Source organism: Homo sapiens, chromosome 17 (genome assembly GCF_000001405.40).
Source record: "Homo sapiens chromosome 17, GRCh38.p14 Primary Assembly".
NCBI lineage: Eukaryota > Metazoa > Chordata > Mammalia > Primates > Hominidae > Homo > Homo sapiens.
Window position 1 is genome coordinate 34,168,993 of NC_000017.11, and position 15,319 is coordinate 34,184,311.

The window sequence follows — 15,319 nt, forward strand, 5'->3', positions numbered from 1 at the left end:
TTCATAGAATTTGGGGCATTGGAAAATGGAAGGTAGGTGCTTCTGGGTCTCAGAAATTTGCACGTCAGAACCCCTCCTAAGGGGCGTCATACGTGTCTCTGAGTCTTGTATACAGAGATATCCAAGCAGGAGTGGAAGAATGCTTTTTAAAAAGTAACAAAGTCAGGCCTAGTAGATAGAGTCTGAATGACTCATTATAACATAACATTTTCTCCTGTCTCTCAAAACAGGAGAATTAGCTCACTAACTATTATATAAGCTCTTTGAGGACAGAGAACAAGTCTAATTGAGCATTACATCCTCAAAGACTGGCAGAAATCTCAAAACATCAGAGATGCTCAAAACTATGGAAAGAAAAAAAAATGTCCTCAAAGAAAACTTCAGCGCATATTCTTCTTTTTATTCAAGTATCCACTGATTCACCTTCATGGGCCAGGCTCTTGGGTACAATGTGCATGAGGCAGTTCAAGTCCCCACCATCCTGGGACTTGGTCTAACTAGTGCTTCTGCACAAATGAGCTTCCAACAGTTGTGTATTCTCTGATATTGCAGGATGAACCATAGGCCCTTAAAGAAGAAAAGAAAAAAAAAAGAAAAAGAGTACTTAACAATTGCATTCTTTGTGTTTCTTGCCAGAATGGACCAGAAACTACTAGCAATTATGTTGAAGCCATTAGTGCAAAGCCAATTTGCTTCTAGAGTTACAGTTGCACTCCAGGAACTTGAGCTACACTCCAGAGAGATCATTAGTTGCTGCAGACATGTTACTGAGGGCAGAGGTGTCATTTCCAGTCTGGAATGTCCTCAGTCAAGTGTGGGAGCAGAAAATGGGGGTCAAAATAATTAACCTCATGTGATTTTGGCAGGACTTCTTGCAAAATCACCCATATACACTTAACATTTATTTCAGTTGAATAATCTCAATGTATCAGTTTTATCAAAATATTTCTTTTTCTCTTTTATTTTCCCACCTGGCTGACCTTTTTTTTTTTAATTTTTTTTATTTTTTTTTTCTGGCTTTCAATACAAACACCTTTAACTTACTTTCTTTGATTCCATTCTCCCTTCCCATTCCCAGTAATAGATGATTGTAACTAATGGAACTCACAAGTATTGCTGGTTGATGCCTTTGCTAGGATTTTCAGTACCATAATCCTCTCACCAGATCATAAGTCTCAGGAGAAAACACCTAATTTCTCCCTTTGTAAAACTTTCCTTGACTTCGTTTCAATTAAATCACTTTCACCGACCCCAGGCCTCCATTAACTATATCCATCGAAATCATCTGTTTCACCACTCTGTGTCCGAGGCTGAGGCAGACACCCCGGCAGCATCCCAACTGACCGAGGAGATGACAGAGTGGGGCTGGCAGGGGTTCAGTTATCAACTCTGGGTTCCAATACTGTTTCCACCAGTCACTACTGGAGATGGGTCCTTCAACAGCTCATCGGGAGAATGAGGATAACAACATTTATCAGCTTGTAAGAAATAAAATGGATAAGTATGTGAAGTTTCTATCAGTGTGGATTTTGATGAGCCTTAATTCCATCATCTCCATTCAACAAACATGTCCTGAAATCCACCTATATGCAAAGTGTTGCACACGACATAAGTTTGCCAGCTGGGTGCATTGGCTTACCTCTATAATCCAGCACTTTAGGAGGCTGAGGCAGGAGGATCGCCTGAGCCCAGGAGTTTGAGACCAGCCTGGGCAACATGGTGAGATCCTGTCTCTACAAAAACTTTTAAAACTTAGCCAAGCGCGGTGGCATGTACCTATGGTCTCAGCTCCTCAGGAGGCTGAGGAAGGAGGATTGCTTGAGCCCAGGAGTTTGAGGCTGCAGTGAATTGTGATCACGCTGCTACACTCCAGCCTGGGTGATAGAGCAAGACCCTGTCTCAATAAATGAATAAATAAGTAAAATATTTAAATAAAATATTTAGAACTGGTATGAGATATTTCAGTAATTGGGGTATAATTACAGTCACATATTTTTGTTGTTATTAAATGAATCACTCAAGCCATTTCTTCTAATCAACATGAAGTCCAGAATCTCTCTCCTTGCTTCTTGATATTATTTTATCTTCCCTGTATTTATTCTCACCACTTATCTAAGAGCTCCAGGGCTTTGTCAGTCACTCTTGCTTTACAGGGATGCCCAATCTTTTGGCTTCCCCGGTCCACAACGGAATAAGACTTTGTCTTGGGCCACACGTAAAATACACGAACACTAACGATAGTTGATGAGCAAAAAAAAAGAAAAAAAGAAAAAACATGTTTATAATGTTTTGAGAAAGTTTACAAATTTGTGTCGGGCCACATTCAAAACTGTCCTGAGCGGCGGGCTGGACAAGCTTGCTTTAAAATATCAATCAGGGCCATCTCCTCCAAGGCCAAGTGCAATTGCCCCCAACTACCACCAGAGGTCACTGTGGAAGAATGATCTCATACAGGTCTAGAGACACTTCCCACCACAGCCAAGGCCATGCTGGTGCTGGCCTAGATAACCGCACAGTGGGGAGCTGCGGTTATATTTCCCTTAGTTCACAAGTACACATGTTCAACTGTTGTTACTCAGGTCTATACACTGTGTCAGGGGAACCAGGTGCTGAGACCCTTCCAGACGCGTTTATACACTGAGCTTCAACTAGATCTCCCTGAGCAATCTACCTGGCCCCTTCTCTCCAGTCCATGAACCCTGGTGAGTGCCACCACTCTCTGCCTTGTTTATTCCCCTCATCAAATGTTTCTAGGATCATAGTTACCATCTTGTTCCCTTTCGGCCGTGTGGATCTACAGGATCCATTTGCAGATTGGTCTACACCTTCTCAGGTCCCTACATAATAAAGAGAGACAGCTGCTATTTCTCAAAAAGTGTCTCCAACAGTATCCATCCCTCTTCCTGACAACACACACACAAAGTCCTTGTTACAACCTCAGGAAAATGACTGCCTCTCATAAAAGAAAATGTGGTTGTCCTTCACAGAGAAGGGCCACCGTTTTTTTGTTTTGTTTTGTTTTGTTTTCCCCCTAAATGATTGCTGTTATATCTGGCCAGATGCTCAGTCTTAGGTACTAAAAACACAAAACAAGCAAACAAAACATTGCCCTGGAGAAGCTTAAAATCCAGAGAAGTCAAGAAACTCCCAGACCACTCCAGGCAGGAAGGAATTGCCCCGTTTGATTAATTCTCATCCCATCAGACATGCCTCCAAGGAGACCAAGAAATCCTAAGTACCAAGGACCATGAGAAGAAGATGGCTGAGGAGGCATACAAACAAAAGGAACCTTGAACAAGCAGACCTCTATCATTGCCCTATGGGCTCTTTCTACCTGCTGCACAGACAAAACCAATTCACTGAGACCATGGTACTGCAGTAGAGAAAGAGTTTAATGCAGAGTTAGCTAAGCAGAAGAATGGGAGTTATACCTCAAATCAATCTCCCCAGGAACTTAGAAGCTAGGATTTTCATGGATAATTAGATGGACAGGGGGCTAGGGAATGGATGCTGCTGATTGGTTGGGGATGAACTCATAAGGATTCAGTCCTCATGTGCTGAGTCTGCCTCTGGGTGGGGGCCACAGGACCAGTTGAGTCATGAGTCCCAGATATGGGTGGAGTCATTTGGCTGTCAGAATGCAAAAATCTTGAAAACATTTCAAAGAGCAATCTGAGGCCCCACAATGGTGACATTATCTATAGAAGCAACTGAGGAAGTCACAGATCTGGTGACCTTTGGCCACATGACTCCTGAGCAGCAAGGGATTATAGAAAGGCAAGCTAGGAGACAATGACTAGTAATCCTTTAGCTACATCTACATCTTTGCAGAATTCAGGCCCCTCCCATAATCCTACTCTTGTGGCCTTTCATTAGGCTTACAAAGGAAATTTCATTCCCTCAGCAAGCAGGGGATTCATTTTAGGGAGGAATTATTATCATCCATGCTTCTTCAAAGTTAAATATAAACTAAATTGCTCCTATGGTTAGCTTGGCCTATGCCCAGCCTGTGAGGCTAGAAGGAAGATGGGGTCAACCATGCTAGACTTCTCCCACTCTTGTAATCTTTGCAAAGGCAGTTTCAACCCCACCCCAGCCACCCCATCAGGAGATATAGCCCTTCATGCAGTTTTAGGGAGGAATGAGGTCCATGAGTTAGCTGTGGGTAGGCCAGGAGAAAAGCCAATTTCAGAATCCATCTACCTTTACCATCCCTTGCACATTGTGAGTAAATGCAGAACTAAGGAAGTGAAGTGAGTGATATCAAGGACAAACATCCCCTCACCTTCTAGTTAATTCCTTTTGACAACACAAGGCCTGAGGCACTTCAGCCTTAAACTGCGTTCAATGCCTTTGCTTTATTTCCAGGGAAATGCAGCAAGGATGTTGCCATGATGTGCGTACTCAGGATGTGGGGAAATGCAAGGAGGAGGGGTTCGAAGGCTTTGCATAAATAAATCAAATGAGGTTGAGCAACTGTTGAAATATGAGGAAATTGCTTCCAGCAGTTTAAAGTCTTGGCTTGACTCGTAATTTAACCTTGAATATAGTTTTCAAAAATCATTAAATCCCCAAAGCCTTCATCTCTAGCAGTGATTAGCCATGATGCAGTAAGCAGAAAGTTAATATATTTATGAGAAGGTATGTAATGCACGACAAATCTATTCATTCAGCACTCGTGTAGTGAATACTGACTGATTGCTTGCTCAGTTACTAGCACTGTGCTAAGTGCTGAGAGGTAGGATAGTGAACAAACACAGCCTCCTTCCCCACAAGGAGCTTACAATCTAATAGCAGGAGGGGACAAGGAGTCAAAATTTATGGAATACTGCTGCATGCCAGAAATTCTGCTAGGAATTTTTCACACATTAACCCCTGCAAGAACCATGCAATTTTCCCTGTATTATATATTAGTCAGGTGGTGCAGCTGTCTGGGGTAAATACCCAGGGTTCATCATCTCACGCCAAGAAGATGATGGACACGGGCACACACAAGGAGTGAGTTTAGGAGTGGAGATTTAATAGGCAAAAGAAAGAGAAAAGAGAACAGCTCTCTCTCTTGTGAGAGAGAGGGCTGCTTGAATGGGAATTCTGGCCCATGGTTGAGTGCACCAGATTTTATAGACAGGCTTGAGGAAGCAGTGTCTGATTTACATAGGGCCCACAGATTGGTTGGACCAGGTGTGATGTTTACATAGCACGTGGGGAACACTGGCCACCCCACCCTAATCTTATGCAAATGGGCTTTTCACTTGGCTGGCGCCATGTTGTCTACTCCTTACTGTACACATGGCTGGCAAAGAGAAGGGAACATGGAGCCACCATTTTGAACATTCCTAGTCCCAGGTAGCCTTCACTCATGCAAGCTTCCAGCTTGCTTGTCTATGTCTGCCGCTCAATTTTACAAGTTGCTGTTTGTTAGAAAAGAAAATGATTTTGGGGCTACTTTTCCTTAAAAAAGGAAAACCTTACCAAGGACTTCCATATCCTCACTATCTGCCTAAATAATTTCTTCTTAAGTCCTATATCATTAGTAAACTCAGGCACTGAGAGGTTAAATAATTTACCCAATGCCACCTGGTTACAACTGGAAGATCCAGACTTCAAACCATGGTCTGTTTAATTCCAAAATCTGTGCACTTCTTATCACTTTCTTCAAGGACAGAGCCAAACAGGAACAGAGGCTGCCCAACTCCCTTCTGTACTGAGCTCTGTTTTCCTGGTTTGCCATCTGTGTAACAAAATGGTGAGTGCAAATGTTAGTCGGGCCTAAGCAAGTCATGGTCCTCTTCCTAACAAAGTGAAGAGTTTTATTTTAATTTAGAGTTATATTAAGAAAACTAAAGAGATGGGATGAGAAGGTAAGAACTCCCTCTTAAGGATAATAGGAAGGAAATAATGTGTTAACAACATCAATAGTTACTATAGTGCTCGCTGTGCACCAAACACATGCTAGGAGTAGGGCATGAATGGCTTAAAATTCTCAAACAACTCCATGGGGTAGATACGGTTATCATCCTCACTTTACAGAAGAGAAAAGTGAGATGTGGAAAAGATAAGAACTTGCTCAAGGTTACACAGCTGGTTAGTGGAAGAGCTGGATTTGACTCCAGGGTCTAGAGTGTTAGAATGAGAAGCAGTCATTGTATTGATGGCAGTAAAGACAGATAGATAGATAGATAGATAGATAGATAGATAGATAGATAGATAGATAGATAGATGATAGACAGATGATAGATAATAGATAGATGATAGATAGATAGATGATAGATAATAGATAGATGATAGATAGATAAATGATAGATAGATAGATAGATAGATAGATAGATAGATAATAGATGGATCATAATCTGAAGTACACAAGGACCTACCCTCCAGTCGAGCTTTGAGCCTGCTACTCTGGCAACATAAAGGCAAGTTGGTCCCTGTGGCAGTGGTCGGCCAAGATTGACCCCAGCCCTTCTCCCAGGGAAGAAGGTCTTGCATCTGTGGTCATCTCTAGATAGTTATTGTGTATCTGGGAACTCATGGCTCTGCTGCTTCTTTGGTGACCCAGCACCCTGATCCTACTTACCTGACCTGTAGCAGAGAAGAAAGCAACTCCTATGCAGGGCTCTCAAAACTTGCCTTCTGAATATGCGTCACTGAATGGGACCTTGGTAGGGCTGTCCCCTTATTGGTTCTTGGGACATTTCACCAAGAGGTGGGAGTGGGTGGGGAAGGGCAAAACTTCAGTGCTACAGGGTATTCTTTCTCTTCCAAGATAAACGCAGTTAAACCTGAATGGGTTGATTGCAGACGCTCTGAAGCCAAACTCTTGCTTACCTCACTTCCTAGCTTGTGTCATCTCACCCCGTAAGTCTTAAAATACTGGATCACTGCCCATAGTAAAACAGCTAACACTATTTACAGAGCAATAACATAATTAGCATCCAAACCTTAGATACTTTGCAAATGTAAAGGGAGCCATTCAACAATTACCCTGGAGAAACAGGCAAAAACAGGACTATCCTAGACATATCAGATATAAAGTCACCCTGCTTCTATAGGACCATCTACATGACAGACATGAAGTGTCACACAAGTATGAACCCATTTAATCCTCATGGCAGCCTTTTTTATGTAGGAAGAATTATCATCATTTCTACGTTACTAATGAAGGAACTGACAGTCAAAATCACATAGCCAGAAAGCAGACATTGCTGTTAACCTCTGTGTTATATTTTCCATCCCCCTCAAACTAGTCATCCCCCAGCAAAAGAAAGGTATGCCTTTTCCTCTGGTCCTAAGCTTGCCTTCTGACAGAAGCTTGGAGAAGGCGGCAAAGGAAGAAAAGTGTGGGCAGAGAAGAGGGCAACCAAGCCTATGATAGGAAGAAGGGCCACAGGATCTTTCTAGTGCCAATCTTTAGTCACATCACACATCTTTATGACTTCAGATGGGCATCTGGGGCCTTGAGGTCACAAAATGAATAATGATCCTTACATTCCTGCATCTGCTTTTGGGGCTCGCCCTGTTAAAACCACAGGTGAGGACAACATGGGAAGATTTATAGTTCTCAGCCTGTGTACCTACCTGCCCCACCTGATGGCCCTCCCATCTCTCCTCAAGCAATTGTTCAATGACACCCATGCAGCCTCCCAGTTGCCATGGAAATGGCAAGAATGCCTCTAATAGGAAGTAAGAATGGAAGAAGATGATTGTACAGATTCCTCAAGCAATTCCTGAGCAAATTCTCCAATTACCCTTCGCATCCAGAGTCAAGGATTTCTCTGGGTTACAGGAACAGCACTGAGGCTTTCAACATCCTCACCCTGGCAAGCTGGTTGCCTCCTTTTGCCCAGCAGTGCCACAGCACTACTATGCACAGCAACTCGGCTCCCTTCTTTCAGCTGGATTCCTTTTGTGAGACTGTAATTCTGAAACACCCAGTGAAACTGGAACAGGAACAAGAAAGGGGATTCTTCTGTGATTGCCCCAAACCATTTGTTGTCTGCAGAAAACTTACATTGGTGCATCCATGGGCAGGGCATGAAGAGAGAGTCCACAGAGGAGCTTGACCCTCTCATCTTCCCAGAGATCTAAAGAGCAGGTGTGGTGAGGACCATCACTGAGGTCAATCAGAAATACCTGCTTGCTCCTGCCTTCATGAGAGATGGCTCTATTTAGCCACACAGACACATCCTTTTTCTACCTAGGCCTATCAACCTAATAGGAAATGGAGGCTCTGAAGACTAGTTTTACAAGGGGGTAAAAGAAAGTCTAGGAGGAAAATGGGGAGGAGAGTGGAGAAGTTGGGCACCAAGACAGCAGAAGTGTTGAAAATGTTTGGGACTAGATGGGAGACAGCCAAGGTCGGGGCGCTGGTGGCGGCAGATGGGAGAAGAGGGTACAGAGCAACTGGGCATCTGAAGGCCTGTCCAGCCCTGGGGTGCCCACTCCTGTGTTGTCAAGCAGCTCATTCCCTTCCTCAGACCTTGGATTTTGCCTCCATGGAGATCTCTTCCATCTCCGACATTTAATGTTCTAGAGATAGAGTGAAAAGACACAGGAAGTTGAAGCAGTATCAGAAAGTTTCAGAAATGCCCGCAGAGCAGCAGAGGCTTGGGCTCCAAAAAACACACTGCAAGGACACTTCTTCCCACGATTTTCTAAGGACCAGATGTGCCTCTTCTTATACTGGGTATTAATCCCAAACTCCCTTATCATACATTTAAACTGTTTGCCTAACTGTCCAGCTCTTAATTAGGCATGTAACTGGGGAAACAGGGACAATATACAAATGAGCAAACAATCCCCAAACTTTATTTCTGTTATTGCCTACAACTTCCTCCCACAGGCATTAAGTAGCCAAGCTGAATTTTTTGCCCTACAGTCATTTCCTTTTCCACTTCATTTTCTAATCCAAACGTTTGAGGGTCAAGTGTTTGGGGCCTTATTTAAACCACCAGCTGGAAAACAGTCCTCAGCAAAATAGAGGCATGAATAAGAGGCAAACATACATGTAGACAGACAAATTATTGTTGTGTGAGACTCATCTTTGATTTCAATTTGGGAACTGAGTTGAGTTCAATGCTGTCTCTTCATCTGTTTCTGTTATAACTGCAGGAAGCAGAGGGTTTCTGACTTCTCAACATGGTAAAACAAACAAATAAACAAACAAAAACCAAACAAGCCCCTCACCCACAGGTGACTGTCAAGCCTTTGTTCCCTTTGCTGCCACTGAAGCCAGACTGGCGCATCTGAGTAGGTTTCTGGGCTCTCTCCTACCTCTATGAAGTAATTCTAGGCTCACTGAGAAGTGACTCCTCCCACTACAGCTCACCCCCTAATGCATCAGGCCCACAACTGACCAGAATAGACTTCCTTTCTCTTTTCTGTCTGCTCCCTATGGAGCAGTTGAGAAGGTTCATTTGCATACATCTTCATTTATTGTCCTTCCAAAGCCTTTGATACCGAGCACGCTAAGATGGGTATCCTCATTTTACAAAGATCAAGGCAGAGAGAAGAGAAGGGACTCGCCTAGGATCACACAATTGACATGTCATCGCTGTAAGTATTTTAAATGCAGGTATGACTCCCAAACCTATGCTCTCCAGCACTCTGCTTCCAGGTTTTCAGGTCCTGATTGTTGGAGAAGAGAGGGCAAGGGGTGGAGTTGGAGGTAGGAGGAAGTAGGTCAGAAATAAAAAATATGCTAGAGAAAGATACGTTGCTTACTCTATTCTGCAATTTTTCCTTGGGTCTTCTTTCCCTTCTTGGCTGAGAGCATGCATTATTTATCCCTCACACACAGAATTTTTGTAGTCGTAATAAAGGTCAGAAGGGGAGGAGACAGTTATCTAAATCTGCGCTATATCCAGGTGCACTTAGAATGACATATTGAGTCTAATGGAATCTTTTGAGAAACAAAACAAGACATGAGCCTCAATGTTTCTTTTTTCAGTTTTTCCTTTCTTCTTCTTCTTTGCTCCCTTTCTCCTTCCAAAAAAAAAAAAAAAAAAAAATTTGTTGGCAAGTTGGTATCCCTTCCAGACCCATTTTCATTCCTCCCTCCCTGAACTGTCCTTTGAGATAACCTCAGTGCTCTTTTCATACCTAAATCAGGGAGCCTGGGATGAGCTATGTCACTCTGATGCATTCTGGTGTAAGCTTTCCCTTCTCTGATTTTGGAACCCCCTTGGATAGCTTCAAAGTTCTCTTTTAAAATCCTCAAACCTATTCACTTTAATTAAAACAATAAATATGTGCTCTGTAGCGTTTGGCAAGAGTGACTTTGGGGATATTAAGGCATAAAAGTGAACAGATGGGATGTTGCAGTTCCGGAAAAGATGGACCCCCCCTTAGGCGGGTACTTGCCAGTTGGGTGATGCGCCTCCATCTACAACCAACAGGGACATTTTCGTTACTGGTTACCGACCTTTTTGTTCTCCTCGGTTGACTATCCCTGACCTGATTTTCAGTCGTGTTCAGCCACAGTAAGCTGTCAAGCTGGTCTGTCTGCATTAGAGGCAGAAGACCTGCCGCTTTTACAAAAGATCCCTGAGTATAGGGCTATTTAGTTTTTTTTTTAGTATCTGAAGGAAATGAGCCTGGCTCAGGAAGAGGGGTTCAGAAGCGTTTCATTCCGCTCTCATTCCTGGGACTCCACCAAAAACAACCACCAAAAAGATAAAATATTGTTTTAATTGCTGAAGCAAGGAAACTAGCAAATGTCTCCAAACAATAAATTATTAATTATATCTGCCAAATGCTGTCTTGATGGAGATGTGAGAACCAGGTGGGAGACCGCATTTACTGCCTCCGGTATCTGGAAGGGTGAGGATTTCCCTAGGGGAAGTGTCCTTGTCCCAAAGTTGATACCCAGGGATTCTCTGAGTGGAGTGGCAGTGTCTGGCATCATCTACAAGCTACAAGAGAGGTGGACATACATTGTAGAGAACAAGTTCATGTGGAATGGAGAAGAGTGGCTTTAGGAGTAATGATGGTAATACATATTTTTAGATATCCAGATAATGAATAAATGACAATATAGCATAAAGATAAAAAATAAGATTGTACAATATTGAAGGAGAACAAAGTTGGAGATGCTACCTGATTTTAAGACTTACTATCAAGCTACAATAATCAAGACTGCATGGTACTAGGGAAGAAAGAGACAAATGGATCCATGGAACAGAATAGAGGGCCCGGAAATAGACCTACAAAAATAATAGCCTGCTGATCTTTGACAACGGAGCAAAAGCAATAAAATGGAGGAAAAAAAAGTCTTTTCAACAAATACAGCTGGAACAACTGAACATGCACATGCAAGAAAAAAAAAAAAAAACCTCACGAATGTAGACACAGACCTTACACCTTTACCCAAAATTAACTGAAAATGGATCACAGACCTAAGTATAAAATATGCAAAATGAGAAAACTCCTAGATGATAATAGGAGAAAATCTAGATGACCTTGAGTTCAGAGATAATTTTAGATACAACACCAAAGGCATAATCCAGAAAAAAGAATTGTTAAGTTGGACTTCAGTAAAATTAAAAAGTTTTGCTCTGCAAGAGACCCTGTCAAGAGAACACTGTGATGTTACCTGGCCACATCCTGAAGAAAATAATTGCAAGAGGCATATCTATTTGATAAAGAACTCTTATCCGAAATATACAAAGAACACTTAAAACTCAACAAAAAGAAAACAAACCTGATTCTTAAAAAAATGATACAAAGACCTTAACAGAAATCCCATCAAAGATTTTCAGATGGCAAATAATTACATAAAAAGACGTTCCACATCATATGCCATGAGAGAAACACAAATTAAAACAATCAAAACAACAGTGCAATACACTGCACACTTATTAGAATGACCAAAATGCAGAACACCAACAAATTCTGGCTAGAATGTGAAGCAACAGGAACTGTCATTCATTGTTGGTATTGATGCAAAATGGTACAGCCGCTTTGGAAGACAGTTTGGTGGCTTTTTACAAAACTTAATATACTCTAACTATGAGATACAGCAATCATGCTCCTTGGTATTTACCCAAAGGAGTTGAAAACTTATATCTACAAAATCTTGCTCACTTTTATTTATAGGGCTTTATTCATAATTGCCAAAACTTGGAAGCAACCAAGATGTCCTTTAGTCAGTGAGTGAATAAATAAACTACCATACACGAGACAATGGAATACTATTCAGCACTAAAAATAAATGAGCCATGAACAGACTTGGAGAAAATGTAAATGCACATTACTAAGTGAAAGAAACCAGTCTGAAGAGGCTACATCCTGTATGATTCCAACTATACGATATTCTGGAAAAGGCAAACCTATGAAGACAGTAAGAAGATCAGTGGTTTTCAAGGATTAGTAGGAGGGAGAGATGAATTGGCAGATTACAGAGGAGTTTCAGGGCAGCAAATCTATTCTGCATGATACTATAATCATAGATACATGTCATTATACATTTGTCTAAACACATAGAATGGACAATGTCAACAGTGAGCCCTAACATAAACTTTGGGTGATAATGATGTGTCAATGTAGGTTCCTCAGTTGTAAAAAATGTGCCTCTCTGGTGGGGGATGTTGATAATGGGGAGGCTGTGCAGGTGGGGCAGGGGTTATATGAGAAGTCTGTGTTCCACTCAATTTTGCTGTGAAACCAAAACTGCCCTAAAAAAATAAAGTGTATTAATAAAAATAATTTCATTAGAGAAGGATGAAGAAGAAGAAGAGAGAGAAAGGGAAGGAGAAGGAGATGAAAAAGAAGTCGGGATTCAGAGATGGAAAGTAAATTTTAGTTGACCATTTCCCTTGTGCCAGGCACTGTGCTAGATACTTTAAATATACATCTTATTTTGCTATATTCTCAAAATAGTGCAAGATCAAGATTCTTATCTCTATGTTAGGTATAATTAAATTGATAGTTATAGAAGTTAGATCATTATAACAAGGTCAAACAACTAGTAACAGACATTTTAACTCAGCTGTACTGATGGCAAAGCCCAAGCTCCTTCAATTACATCCTCCTCCTCCTCCTCATCATCACTCACAGCATCTTCACCTTCATCATCACCGACATGCATTGAGCTCTCAGATGCATCATCCCTGTGAACACACAATCTTTTTATTTAATTCTCGCAACAACTCCATTTTGTAGTCAAGTACACTGGTGTTCAGACAAACTTAAATAACACTTTCCAGATCGCACATCTGGTAAGCAGCAGAGCCCAGAGCTATCTGATTCCTTACTTTTAACCATGCTGATCTACTGTTTGTCACTATTTTCAGATAGAGCCCATGGTTCCCCTTACTGGATAACAAATCATTTTTCCTCTCTTGGATGTAACCTCCCCATCTACAAAATGAGCAGTTTGTACTAAATGATTTAAGATTCCTTTCCAATCTAATCTGACAAACTAATCTAATTTCAGAGCAGCCGCGTGGAGGGAATGTTTTTGCTTTGGGTTTGTATTTCTGAAATAACCTGTCTTCTCTCTTCCCAGGAGACCAGCAGTAAATACACAGATGGATAAGACTCAAAAGAACCTACAAATCCTGTACAATGAAATCACGTGGCAAGAATGTGGTTATTCTGAGAAACAGAATAAAGCAGCATTTTGCTGTGCCTTTTCACACAGCTGCCAATCAATGGTACATGCTGGCATACTTTCAGAATAGCTGCTCTGTTTAACCCAATGACCCAGAGGCAGCAATTTGGAGCTTAGCAAGTCACATCCCATGACATCCAGGATGCCCTCTCCACCTACCTGCACCCAGTCAATCACCAAGTCACAGGGATTTCACCTCTGGAATAATTTCAATCACCACCTGCATTCCCAATGGCTTCGTCCAGGCTCTTATCTCTTAGCTGCACTATAGCAGTAACCTCCTAACTGCCTCTGCACACTATAGTCCTCCCTCCTCTGTGCTATTAGAGTAATATTTTTCAAATGCAAATCTGATCATGACACTCTCTCTTTTTTTTTTTTTTTTTGAGACGGAGTCTCGCTCTGTCGCCCAGGCTGGAGTGCAGTGGTGCGATCTCGGCTCACTGCAAGCTCTGCCTCCCAGGTTCATGCCATTCTCCTGCCTCAGCCTCCCAAGTAGCTGGGACCACAGGCGCCCACCACCACGCCCGGCTAATTTTTTGTATTTTTAGGAGAGACGGGGTTTCACCGTGTTGGCCGGGATGGTCTCTGTCAGGCCTCTGAGCCCAAGCCAAGCCATCGCATCCCCTGTGACTTGCACGTATACGCCCAGATGGCCTGAAGTAACTGAAGAATCACAAAAGAAGTGAAAAGGCCCTGCCCCGCCTTAACTGATGACATTCCACCATTGTGATTTGTTCCTGCCCCACCTTAACTGAGTGATTAACCCTGTGAATTTCCTACTCCTGGCTCAGAAGCTCCCCCACTGAGCACCTTGAGACCCCTGCCCCTGCCCACCAAAGAACAACCCCCTTTGACTGTAATTTTCCATTACCTTCCCAAATCCTATAAAACGGCCCCACCCCTATCTCCCTTTGCTGACTCTCTTTTCGGACTCAGCCCGCCTGCACCCAATGAAATAAACAGCCATGTTGCTCACACAAAGCCTGTTTGGTGGTCTCTTCACACGGACGCGTATGAAATTTGGTGCCGTGACTCGGATCGGGGGACCTCCCTTGGGAGATCAATCCCCTGTCCTCCTGTTCTTTGCTCCGTGAGAAAGATCCACCTACGACCTCAGGTCCTCAGACCCACCAGCCCAAGGAACATCTCACCAATTTTAAATCAGGTAAGCGGCCTCTTCTTACTTTCTTCTCCAACTTCTCTCACTGTTCCTCAACCACTTTCTCCTTTCCACTCTTCAATCTCTCCCTTGTCTTAATTTCAATTCCTTTCATTTTCTGGGAGAGACAAAGGAGACATGTTTTATCCGTGGACCCAAAACTCCAGTGCCGGTCACGGACTGGGAAGGCAGCCTTCCCTTGGTGTTTAATAACTGCAGGGACACCTCTCTGATTATACACCCACGTTTCAAGGGTGTCAGACCACGCAGGGATGCCTGCCTTGGTCCTTCACCCTTAGCGGCAAGTCCCGCTTTTCTGGGGAAGGGGCAAGTACTTCAACCCCTTCTCTCCTTGTCTCTACCCCTTTTCTGCTTTCCTGGGGCAGGGGCAAGTACCCCTCAACCCCTTCTCCTTCACCCTTAGCGGCAAGTCCCACTTTCCTGGGGCAGGGGCAAGTACCCCTCAACCCCTTCTCTTTCACCCTTAGTGGCAAGTCCTGCTTTTCTAGGGGGCAAGAATCCCCAATCACTTATTTCTGCACCCCAAC

At 42.8% G+C, this 15,319-nt stretch overlaps 1 long non-coding RNA gene across 1 annotated transcript, besides 3 other annotated features; it reads right to left on the bottom strand.

Moving 5' to 3' along the window:
- Positions 1-383: 383 nt before the first annotated feature.
- Positions 384-14,640, bottom strand: LINC01989 (long intergenic non-protein coding RNA 1989). The gene is made up of 6 exons (NR_110748.1): positions 14,589-14,640; positions 12,974-13,106; positions 10,099-10,381; positions 9,721-9,981; positions 5,568-5,731; positions 384-567 (listed from the first exon to the last, which is right to left on the bottom strand). It is a non-coding gene; the product is annotated as a long intergenic non-protein coding RNA 1989 (long non-coding RNA).
- Positions 2,427-2,536: a silencer, noted in NCBI's record as "silent region_8431". NCBI's record gives its function as "represses an Ori minimal core promoter by ATAC-STARR-seq in GM12878 lymphoblastoid cells {active_cell/tissue: GM12878}" and the evidence as "EXISTENCE:reporter gene assay evidence [ECO:0000049][PMID:35858748]".
- Positions 9,154-9,682: an enhancer, noted in NCBI's record as "OCT4-NANOG hESC enhancer chr17:32505165-32505693 (GRCh37/hg19 assembly coordinates)". NCBI's record gives its function as "activates a minimal SCP1, AML or CMV promoter by ChIP-STARR-seq in primed H9 embryonic stem cells {active_cell/tissue: H9 hESC(primed)}" and the evidence as "EXISTENCE:reporter gene assay evidence [ECO:0000049][PMID:30033119]".
- Positions 14,287-14,494: a silencer, noted in NCBI's record as "fragment chr17:32510298-32510505 (GRCh37/hg19 assembly coordinates)". NCBI's record gives its function as "represses an EF-1alpha promoter that drives an FKBP-Casp9 reporter gene in an ReSE screen in K562 erythroleukemia cells {active_cell/tissue: K562}" and the evidence as "EXISTENCE:reporter gene assay evidence [ECO:0000049][PMID:32094911]".
- Positions 14,641-15,319: the final 679 nt, after the last annotated feature.